The 10,580-nt window shown below is 45.7% G+C and overlaps 1 protein-coding gene and 1 long non-coding RNA gene across 18 annotated transcripts in view, besides 5 other annotated features; one reads left to right on the top strand and one right to left on the bottom strand.

Annotated features, from left to right (window-relative positions):
- Positions 1–10,580, top strand: part of CDC25C (cell division cycle 25C) — a 53,091-nt gene that overhangs the window by 825 nt on the left and 41,686 nt on the right. For 4 of the 17 annotated variants that reach the window (NM_001364026.1, XM_011543760.3, XM_005272145.4 and 1 more), the window contains exons 2-4: positions 6,317–6,544; positions 7,884–7,978; positions 9,002–9,047. In NM_001364026.1, the coding sequence (NP_001350955.1) occupies positions 6,317–6,544; positions 7,884–7,978; positions 9,002–9,047 (369 nt within the window). Of the gene's footprint in view, positions 1–5,653; positions 5,937–6,312; positions 6,545–7,883; positions 7,979–9,001; positions 9,048–10,580 lie in introns of those variants that run through there. The other 13 variants (XM_047417954.1, XM_006714739.4, XM_047417953.1 and 10 more) reach the window with 11 other exon arrangements.
- Positions 36–115: an enhancer, noted in NCBI's record as "active region_23199". NCBI's record gives its function as "activates an Ori minimal core promoter by ATAC-STARR-seq in GM12878 lymphoblastoid cells {active_cell/tissue: GM12878}" and the evidence as "EXISTENCE:reporter gene assay evidence [ECO:0000049][PMID:35858748]".
- LOC100128966 (uncharacterized) lies at positions 385–5,426 on the bottom strand. Its single transcript, NR_146628.1, has 4 exons — positions 5,346–5,426; positions 4,003–4,098; positions 2,046–2,146; positions 385–657 (listed from the first exon to the last, which is right to left on the bottom strand). It is a non-coding gene; the product is annotated as an uncharacterized LOC100128966 (long non-coding RNA).
- Positions 5,405–5,664: a silencer, noted in NCBI's record as "silent region_16389". NCBI's record gives its function as "represses an Ori minimal core promoter by ATAC-STARR-seq in GM12878 lymphoblastoid cells {active_cell/tissue: GM12878}" and the evidence as "EXISTENCE:reporter gene assay evidence [ECO:0000049][PMID:35858748]".
- Positions 5,616–6,569: an enhancer, noted in NCBI's record as "H3K27ac hESC enhancer chr5:137666651-137667604 (GRCh37/hg19 assembly coordinates)". NCBI's record gives its function as "activates a minimal SCP1, AML or CMV promoter by ChIP-STARR-seq in naive H9 embryonic stem cells {active_cell/tissue: H9 hESC(naive)}" and the evidence as "EXISTENCE:reporter gene assay evidence [ECO:0000049][PMID:30033119]".
- Positions 5,715–5,764: an enhancer, noted in NCBI's record as "active region_23198". NCBI's record gives its function as "activates an Ori minimal core promoter by ATAC-STARR-seq in GM12878 lymphoblastoid cells {active_cell/tissue: GM12878}" and the evidence as "EXISTENCE:reporter gene assay evidence [ECO:0000049][PMID:35858748]".
- Positions 5,775–5,904: an enhancer, noted in NCBI's record as "active region_23197". NCBI's record gives its function as "activates an Ori minimal core promoter by ATAC-STARR-seq in GM12878 lymphoblastoid cells {active_cell/tissue: GM12878}" and the evidence as "EXISTENCE:reporter gene assay evidence [ECO:0000049][PMID:35858748]".

Here is a 10,580-nt window from a genome sequence, read left to right as displayed (position 1 = left end):
TAATGGGATTGTGATTATGACATCATAGGCGGTTCAGTTGCTTGCGTTTGCCTGGGGGGAGGTGCGGGGAGGTGGGGAGAAGTGCGGTGGTTAGACTTTCCTTAAACAGAAAGGGAAGGAGGAAACAGGCAGATGGGGAAAAGATGTTGACGGCGCTATATTTCCACTTCAGGAAGACAAAACCACCTTTTATTAAGTCTCCACCACTACCACCACCTCCCACATGAGCCAAAATTTAAGTCTTTTTTAAAGAGATTGAATGTAGACGTTAGTGTGTGAAGAGGTTGGGTTGATGGTTTCTGGCTCTTATGTAAATTCGAGTCTCAGCTAGCATCACAGATGGTTTAGGGAGACAAGCAAAAAAGTGGATAAAGGAGAGGCTTTAAACAATGCGTTCGTGTTGTGATCTCTTTGTAATACAAAGTTTTCTATTTCTTTTTTTTAATTGATTGGAAAGTAGCAGTAATGCAAGTAATCTTCACTATTACACTTAGCAGCAAGTCCTCTGAAAGACATCTGTTTTCTGTAAATATTTTGTGCCTTACTCAAGACTGGGACAGGTAAATAGCTGTGATCAGCTGGAAAGTAGAGCCAGTGGCGGGGGTCGTCCTCACTGAGCCAGGGAGGGGAGGAGGCAGGAGCCACCAAGTCTACAAACTGAAAAAGAGTAGAGGAAAAATGAGGTACAGTACTAACTGAGAAAATAGGGGTGGAAAGATTTACCTTGCACTGCTTATTTCCCCTTGGCAAAAGGAGCAGAGTTAGGGGCCATGAAGTAGGGGACACATGGTTTCCAATAATTGCTCTTATGTACCAGACACCATGCTACATTTTTTTTTTTTTGTAAAAACAGGGTCTTGCTGTTGCTCAGGCTGGAGTGCACTGAGGCGATCACAGCTCACTGCAGCCTTGAACTTCTGGGCTCAAGCAATCCTTTCCATCTCAGCCTCCTGAATAGCTAGAACTACAGGGGTGTGCCACCATGCCCAGCATATTTATTTCTATTTTTGTAGAGAGAGGCGTCTTGCTATGTTGCCCAGGGTAGTCTCAAACTCCTGGCCTCAAACAATCTTCCCATCTTGGCCTCACAAAGTGCTGGGATTGGCGTGGTGTCTCACACCTGTAATCCTAGCACTTTGGGAGGCTGAGGCAGACGGATCACCTGAGGTCAGGAGTTCGAGACCAGCCTGGCAACAAAGTGAAACCCCGTCTCTACTAAAAAATACAAAAATTAGCTGGGCATTGTGGCGCCCATCTGTAATCCCAGCTACTCGGGAGGCTGAGGCAGGAGAATCGCTTGAACCGGGGAGGCAGAGATTGCAGTGAGCCGAGATTGTGCCACTGCACTCCAGCCTGGGCAACAGAATGAGACTCTGTCTCAAAAAAAAAAAAAAACAAATGAACAAAAAACGAAGTGCTGGGATTCCAGGTGTGAACCACCACACTTGACCTACATACTTTGATATATATTCTCATTTTTTCTTACAATCATCAAATGAAACAAAACCTTCTCTTTGACAAATGAAACAGCCCAAGAAGTTAAGTGACTGCCCACATGGTAGGCAAAGGTACTCTCAAAAAGCAGTCTAAAAGCCCTTGCTTTTCACCACTAAGCTGTTCACCTTTTTATTATTAATTAAATTAATAATTTAATTATTATGAATTAAATGGTTGAGTTAAAAGTAGGCATTGGCTCATTTGCAAAACATTGAAAGAAACTGAGACCCAAAACAAAACAAAAAAAACAAAACAAAAAAAAAAACCCTGCAAGTCAAGTTTCAGGCCTCATTTCAAAGGAAGGTTACATCCCCTTTCGTCATCTATAAAATGGCCTCCCAGTGCAGCCCAACACTCCTACCCATAATTAAATCTCCTTATTCCACTTTTAGTTCCCAAGGATTTTTTACTCATGTCCTGCTCTTTCCCTGCTGCCCCCTTTTTAGTCTTTTGTTCTTGAGCCACTGCTTTGAACTGCATCTTAATTATGCCCTCATGGGCCAAACCCCATCTGTGACCCTGCTCCAGTGGGTTTCAGCAAAGGATACTCTCCATCCATATTCTGAGGGCTCCAGGGCCTGGAGCCAGTCATCCAGGAGGTCATCCAAAGGAGTGGAATCCATTGGTTCTAAGACTCTTCATTCCCTGCCTAGGAAGGAACAGCCGAGTTGGAGGAACATGCACTCGATTCAGACCTTCCCTTTTCACCCAGTGAAAGCTAAACCTCTGCAAAGTGGGGAGAAGTAGGGCTAAGCCTACCAGTCATAAAAAGAACCAGGAATAGAAAACACACCCCTCAGCCCCTCTGCCCTGCAGAGGCTGGCTGGGAGGATCCCAGGAATGCAGGGCTCTTCTCCACTGCCTGATCTGGGCATCCCAGGAGTGATGGCTGTACCTCCTGTTCTTGTTTGGTGTTTCAGGGTGAAGCCCGGGCTGTCACTGTGCCCTGGCAACAACATGTATGAGTCAGACTGAGGTCAAGGTGAAGGAACACAGCTCACTGCTTATCACAGTGAATCAGGAGCCTAGATAGGGATTCCCCAAGGATGACATAGGATCAATGCCCTCAATCCAACAGAAAAAGTAAATCTTCAAATCAGATTAAACACCAAACTTCCCACCTCCCTAATATTCTTTCTTCTGGGAAGGATAACTTAGATATATTCCAACACCCTCATAAATCAAGATATAAAAGACAATATTTGACTTCCCTTTAAAATAATTCTACCATTTCACAGTTTGTATGTATGCATGTAAACTTACATGTAATTAGCTAAGTATGTTGCAATTAGCTAAGCCAGCTGGAATCATGAGGAGATAGTGAAAATGTTTGCTAGGAAAACAACCTCATTAACAAACGTAGAGCTTTTAAGAGTTTTGTTGGCTGGGCATGGTGGCTCACACCTGTAATCCCAGCACTTTGGGAGGCCGAGGTGGGTGGATTACCTCAGGTCAGGAGTTTGAGACCAGCCTGGCCAACACAGCGAAACCCTGTCTCAACTAAAAATACAAAAATTAGCCAGGTGTGGTGGCGCATGCCTGTAATCCCAGCTACTCAGGAGGCTGAGGCAAGAGAATCACTTGAACAGAGGTTGCAGTGAGCTGAGATTGCGCCATTGCACTCCAGCCTAGGCAACAAGAAAGAAACTGTCTCAAAAAAAAAAAGTTTTTTTGTTGTTGTTTTTAGGAGACAGTCTCACTATGTTGCCCAGGCTGGCCTCAAACTCCTGGGCTCAAGTGATCCTCCCAAGTAGCTGGGACTACAGGCGCACCACTGCATCTGTAAAAAGTCTTAAGGGCGGCCGGGCGCAGTGGCTCATGCCTGTAATCCCAGCACTTTGGGAGGCCGAGGTGGGTGGATCATTTGAGGTCAGGAGTTCCAGAACAGCCTGGACAATATGGTGAAACCCCACCTCTATTAAAAATACAAAAATCAGCCAGGCGTGGTGGCGGGCACCTGTAGTCCCAGCTACTCGGGAGGCTGAGGCAGGAGAATAACTTGAACCCAGGAGGCAGAGGTTGCAGTGGGCCAAGATTGCGCCACTGTACTCTAGCCCGGGAGAGAGCGAGACTCCATCTTAAAAAAAAAAAAAATACTCTTAAGAGCTAGGTGTATAAGTTCCATTTGAGAAATCTCAGAAACTTATTTTTGGGGCTAGATTTTTGGAGAATTTGTTTTAGGAATGCTGCAACTTTGTCAGAGTGCTCAGATTTTAGTATATTTCCATCACCTGACATTGAACTAAAGCCACTTGGCTGACACCTTTGTTGTGACCACCCACAACTGCACTTACTTGAGGACCTGGTGCAGAAAGCACTGGTAGCCAGGTGTGCACTTGCCATAATCTATCTGCTTTTGCCACCAATAGAGAATAACTTTGTCTCTACTTCCCACCTGCAGGGAAGTATACAATTTCCCACAAAGTGTGATTATACTGTAGTCGTCAAAGCAGATAACAACTCATCCCACACTCCCTTAATCCCCAGCCTGATTTTCAAACTCACCTGGCATAGCAAGGTTCTGTGCTAACTCCTACACTCACTGTCTGTATCCTAGAGGACAAAGAATCTTCACACATCTCCTTTCTGGGGAAGCAGGTTCTGCAGATGAAAAGGGTATTAGGATAAAAACCAGCTGGCTACACTGTGCCTCTCAGCCACTACCACCACCAAGATCCTGACAACAGACACAAGTTGCATTTTGACTTTTGTTTCTCAAAGCATGATCTGCAAGCCGTCTGCATGGGTAGCACCTGGGGGCCTTGATAATGACCCCACTTTAGACCTATCGAATTATCGTTTTTGGAGCCTACATCTTAAAGAGCTTCCAAGGTTATTTTGAACATTTTTATTATGGAAATTTTCAAATATACATTGAAGTAAGAAGTATGGGGTAATACCTTACCACGCAAAGTATGGTCGTAGGACCAGCTACCTCACCATCAGCTGGGGGCTTGTTAGAAGGGCAGAATCTTGGGCCGCAACCGCAACCCAGACATCCCGAATCAGAATCTGCATTTAGCAGGTCCTCAGGTGGTTAGTGTGCAAATTAAACCTTGAGAAGCACAGATATGATGGACCCTCCTGCCCCCATCACTCAACAGTCAGGGTCAATCTTGTATCATCAATACCTTCCCCCAGCACAGGATTATTTAAAAGCAAATCCCTAACATTAGGAATGTCTTTTTGTTTGTTTCACTCTAATGCCCAGGCTGGAGTGCAGTGGCGCAACCTCTGTCTCCCGAGTTCAAGCAGTTCTCATGCCTCAGCCTCCCAAGTAGCTGGGATTACAGGTGTGTGCCACCACAACCGGCTAAATTTTGTATTTTTAGTAGAGACGGGGTTTCATCATGTTGGCCAGGCTGGTTTTGAACCCCTGACCTCATGTAATCTGCCCGCCTCGGCCTCCCAAAGTGCTGGGATTACAGGTGTGGGCCAACGCGTCCGGCCAATAATTTATAAATATCACCTCGTCAATGTTCAAATTTTCATTAATAACCAATCTTTGAGGTCCTCTGGATTGCGATAAGGATTATACCAAGATGATTTAATTCCTCCACTTTCCCTGCAACGGAATTTCTTTTTACCCACGTGAGCTAGAGTCTCTGAGATGCTGCACACTAAAAGAAACACCAAACAAAGCTCTTGGAAGGGGCTAATGCCTCTCAGCATAAACACACACACCCGTCTCGCCCCAACACTTGCCACGCCGGCAGCAAACGCTCCATCTCCCGTGGAAGGCCAGCAAAACTTAGAAGAAAACGTCCGCGAAAACGGCACGAGAAAGAAGCGAAGAAAATGAAACGCTTACAACACCCTCCACCCAAAATAATCTCTCCTAGTATTACCCTAGTGAATGGACATCACTAGTAAGGCGCGGTTTAAATCTCCCGGGGTTCGTGGGGCTGAGGGAACGAGGAAAACAGAAAGGGTGTGGAGATTGGTGAGAGGGAGAGCCAATGATGCGCCAGGCTCCCCGTGAGGCGGAGCTTACCCCGCAGCCTGCCTAACGCTGGTGGGCCAAACACTATCCTGCTCTGGCTATGGGGCGGGGCAAGTCTTACCATTTCCAGAGCAAGCACACGCCCCCAGGTGATCTGCGAGCCCAACGATAGGCCATGAGGCCCTGGGCGCGCGCGCGGAGATTGGCTGACGCAGCTTAGAGGCGAGCGGGGATAGGTTACTGGGCTGGCGGAAGGTTTGAATGGTCAACGCCTGCGGCTGTTGATATTCTTGCTCAGAGGCCGTAACTTTGGCCTTCTGCTCAGGGAAGACTCTGAGTCCGACGTTGGCCTACCCAGTCGGAAGGCAGAGCTGCAATCTAGTTAACTACCTCCTTTCCCCTAGATTTCCTTTCATTCTGCTCAAGTCTTCGCCTGTGTCCGATCCCTATCTACTTTCTCTCCTCTTGTAGGCAAGCCTCAGACTCCAGGCTTGAGGTAAGTCCGCAGCCGTCTCCGCCACGGAATCACGGAGACCCCATTGTCCCCCTTAGGGTCCAGTCGGGCCCCCACAGACAGAGGTTGGGAGGGCCGAATGGGGACTATCGCGAGTTACGAGACCCGGGTTCTTTCTAGTCAGGAGTCTCGAGCTGTGTGGCGTGGAACAAGTCAAAATCCTCTCTTCATTCCATCTTTAAGGTCCTAAGGTTGCCTCTCGTCGGTGAATTCAGGTTCTAACCTTAAGCCAGGCTGTGAATCACCCTTCGGGGTTGCCCCTCTTCCAGTGTTGATTCGCCTGGCTGGAAAGGGTGGAGGAGTTTAGGAAAGCTGAGGGAACTGTGATGTACCGATTTAGATGACGTTTTCCTCCTAGCTAGGTTTTGTTTTTCTCCTGGTGAGAATTCGAAGACCATGTCTACGGAACTCTTCTCATCCACAAGAGAGGAAGGAAGCTCTGGCTCAGGACCCAGTTTTAGGTCTAATCAAAGGAAAATGTTAAACCTGCTCCTGGAGAGAGACACTTCCTTTACCGTCTGTCCAGATGTCCCTAGAACTCCAGTGGGCAAATTTCTTGGTGATTCTGCAAACCTAAGCATTTTGTCTGGGTAAATATACTTTTATTTTTACACTGTATTGCCTTTGCTATTTCCAAACAGTTGGGTTTGTTTGTTGGTTTGTTTTCAATTATCCCGGCTCAAAGGTCAGGCTTTAAGTCTCAACTCTGCCCTTGACTGTGTAACCCTTTTGAGTCTCACCTTCTTTTCTGTGACAAGAAATAATCTCAGCCAGGCGAGGTGGCTCATGCCTGTAATCTCCGCACTTTGGGAGGCCAAGGAGGGCGGATCGCCTGAGTCTAGGAGTTCAAGACCAGCCTGGGCAACATGGCAAGACGCCGTCTCTACAAAAAATATTAAAAGTTAGCTGAGTGTGGTGGTGTGCACCTATAGTCCCAGCAACTCGGGAGGCTGAGGTGGGAGGATTGCTTGAGCCCGGGAGGTGGAGGCTGCAGTTAGCCAAGATCGCCTCACTGCACTTCAGCCTGGGAAACAGAGTGAGACTCTATCTCAAAAAGAAAAGAAAAGACAAAGAAATAATAATCGCTTCCTATCTTACTAGGATCTTGTGAGAATCAAATGATGTGATAACTGGGAAAAGTCTTTGAAAACCGCTGCATTACGAGTCGGTCACTTTATTAGTATTAATATTAGTGTTATTGCAGTTGTACTTTGAATTCTGATCATACCATGTCTCAACTAGCAAAGAGAAGTAGTACCTGAGAAAAACTAGGGACCCCAGGGAGAAATCAAGCCTGTGTTCATAGTGCTCAGGACCGGGAATGTGGAGTCAAGATCCCCCTCGGCCAATAAACTCTGGGCCTCATTTAAAAAAAAAAAAATTATCTGTTTCAGTATGTTGGTAAGGAGAAAATAAAGTACAGATTATGGTAGTGGGAGATTTTTCTCAGCCCAGTCTGATATATTTCCCAAAAGCAATTAGATTTATTTGGACACTGTTCAGATGATCTGATAGTCATTAAGGGGTGTTTCAAATGAACAGGCTTGGCCAGGCGTTGTGGCTCACACCTGTAATCCCAGCACTTTGGAAGGCCGAGGTGGGTGGATCACCTGAGGTTAGGAGTTTAAGACCAGCCTGGCTGACATGGTGAAGCCCCATCTCTACTACAAATACAAAAATTAGCTGGGCGTGGTGGCAGGCGCCTGTGATCCCAGCTATTTGGGAGGCTGAGGCAGGAGAATCGCTTGAACCCGGGAGGCGGAGGTTGCAGTGAGCCAAGATCGTGCCACTGCACTTGAGCTGGGGGGACAGAGCAAGACTCCACTGCAAAAAAAAAAAAAAAAAAAAAAGAAGAGGATGACATGATCTTTGACTTTTAAGGATATAATAATCTAATGGGAATTTCGATGTACTATTATGTCTCAACAGAGGAACCCCAAAACGTTGCCTCGATCTTTCGAATCTTAGCAGTGGGGAGATAACTGCCACTCAGCTTACCACTTCTGCAGACCTTGATGAAACTGGTAGGGAGAAGGGAGATAAAGGCCTCAAAGGGAAGAATAACTTTTAAGGGAGAAAACAGGGAAGGAGGATAGAGACGGAAGGTGGTGAAAGTATAAAAAGAATCTGCCTAGAGAGATGGAATTTTGTGGGTAACTAGAGGATTTTTGAGAATGATTAAGCCAATGGGAAGAGAAAGATAATAACACTAATAGGAGCTACTTTGCATATGAAAATGTTAGACAAGTAGGAATATATTTTGTTGACTGATTAATGGTGGGAATGAAAGTATAGTCATTAGGATATGAGAAGTTTTGTGCCTCAGTCTAATCTCAGCAGAGGCAAAGAAACCAGCATAAAGAAATATGTTGTTGGCCAGGTGCAGTGGCTCATGCCTGTAATCCCAGCACTTTGGGAGGGCAAGGCGGGCGGGTCACGAGGTCAAGAGATCGAGACCATCCTGGCCAACATGGTGAAACCCCATCTCTACTAAAAATACAAAAGTTAGTTTGGCATGGTGGCACGTGCCTGTAGGCCCAGCTACTGGGGAGGCTGAGGCAGGAGAATCTCTTGAACCCGGGAGGTGGAGGTTGCAGTGAGCCAAGATAGCACCAATGCACTCCCGCCTGGCGACAGAGCGAGACTGCATCTCAAAAAAAAAGAAATATGTTGTCAACTAATTTTTATATGTTTTATATGAAATATTCCAAAAGGAATGTTTCATAAGTTAACCTTCCAGAATTCTAATTTCAGATTTTCTGAGTGATAACCTTTCTTTTCTACCCATAAGAAAAAAAAAAACTCCATAGGTAGCATAGTGTAGTGTTTCCCAACACTTGATTTCTTTTAGTGACACATATAAATTCTTACGTTTCTGTGAAATTGTACCTTGTACCATGAAATGGGTACCAATCGAGAGGCTTTGTATTCAAAAGCTCAGTCCTTGAAATTAATACGGCTTACTGGTAATGAAGAAAATCTGAAGGAAAAACAGGATGCATGGACAAGAATAACTCCTTTTACTGATTCTTTATATTTGATTGCAGGTCACCTGGATTCTTCAGGACTTCAGGAAGTGCATTTAGCTGGGATGTAAGTTCTGTTGTTAAATGAACCCCACACAAAAGCCTTTTAGCACTGGTCATAGAGATTTTATCCTGTGCAGACTCTGCAGAGTACAAAACCTTTCATACTGGGTATAAGTGGGCTTTGAGGCCTAGTTCCTTACCTTGAACAGTTTCTAAGTTTTCCACATCTAAATAGTGTTGTGAAAATGAAGGCTATTCATTTTAACCATCATAATCAGAAGTATCTATAAGGAAATGAAGGAAAATGGTATACTACACTTATGTATAGGCTTTTATTTGTATGTGAAAGGTGCTGTATCTTAGTAATTGAAAGTACAGAGTGGCCGGACACGGTGGCTTACATCTGTAATCCCAGCACTTTGGGAGGCCAAGGCAGGCGGATCAGTTGAGGTCAGCAGTTCAAGACCAGCCTGCCCAACATGGTGAAACCCCGTCTCTACTAAAAATACAAAAATTAGCTGGATGTGGTGGCACATGCCTGTAATCGCAGCTACTTCGGAGGTTGAGGTAGGAGAATTACTTGAGCCCAGGAGGCGGAGGTTGCAGTGAGCCAAGACTGCGCCACTGCCCTCCAGCCTGGGCGACAGAGCGAGACTCCGTCTCAGAAAAAAAAAAAAAAAGAAAGTACAGAGTATAAGCTCTGGAATCAGTGTGTGGATTCCTGGCTTACTACTTCATTCACCAGTTGTGACTCTGACAAGTTTTTTTTAACTTCATTGGACCTTAATTTTTTTTATTTGTAACGTGGAGACAATAATAGCATTTCTCATAAAGTAGCTATTGTAAGGAGTAAATAAACTGTGTATCTAGCACATACCAAGCATTTTACTTATGTATTTATTTTTATTTTTGAGATGGAGTCTGGCTCTGTTGCCAAGGATGGAGTGCAGTGGTGCCATCTTGACTTACTGCAACCTCTGCCTCCCTGGGTTCAAGCGATTCTCCTGCCTCAGCCTCCCGAGTAGCTGGGATTACAGGCGTCCACCACCACGCCCGGCTAATTTTTGTATTTTAGTAATACAAAAATGGAGGCTTCACCATGTTGGCCAGGCTGGTCTTGAACTCCTGACCTCAAGTGATCAGCGCCCCACCCCCACCCACCCCTTGGCCTCCCAAAGTCCTGGGATTACAGATGTGAGTCACTGGGCCCAGCTTGAATTGCTTTAAATGCTCTAACCCAGATAGATAATGAAATCCATGGAGGGAGGATAGAAATTAATTTTTTTTTTTTTTTGAGATGGAGTCTCGCTCTGTTGCCAGGATGGAGTGCAGTGGTGCGATTTTGGCTCACTACAACCTCCGCCTCCCGGGTTCAAGTGATTCTCCTGCCTCGGACTCCTGAGAGGCTGGGACTACAGGCACATGCCACGACGCCCAGCTAATTTTTGTATTTTTAGTAGAGACAGGGTTTCACCATGTTGGCCAGGACGGTCTCTATCTCTTGACCTCGTGATCCGCCCGCCTTGGCCTCCCAAAGTGCTGGAATTACAAGCGTGAGCCCCCGCGCCCAGCCTTTTTTTTTTTTTTTTTTTTTTGA

Source organism: Homo sapiens, chromosome 5, assembly GCF_000001405.40.
Source record: "Homo sapiens chromosome 5, GRCh38.p14 Primary Assembly".
Classification (NCBI taxonomy): domain Eukaryota; kingdom Metazoa; phylum Chordata; class Mammalia; order Primates; family Hominidae; genus Homo; species Homo sapiens.
This window is presented reverse-complemented; position numbering and strand designations above follow the sequence as displayed.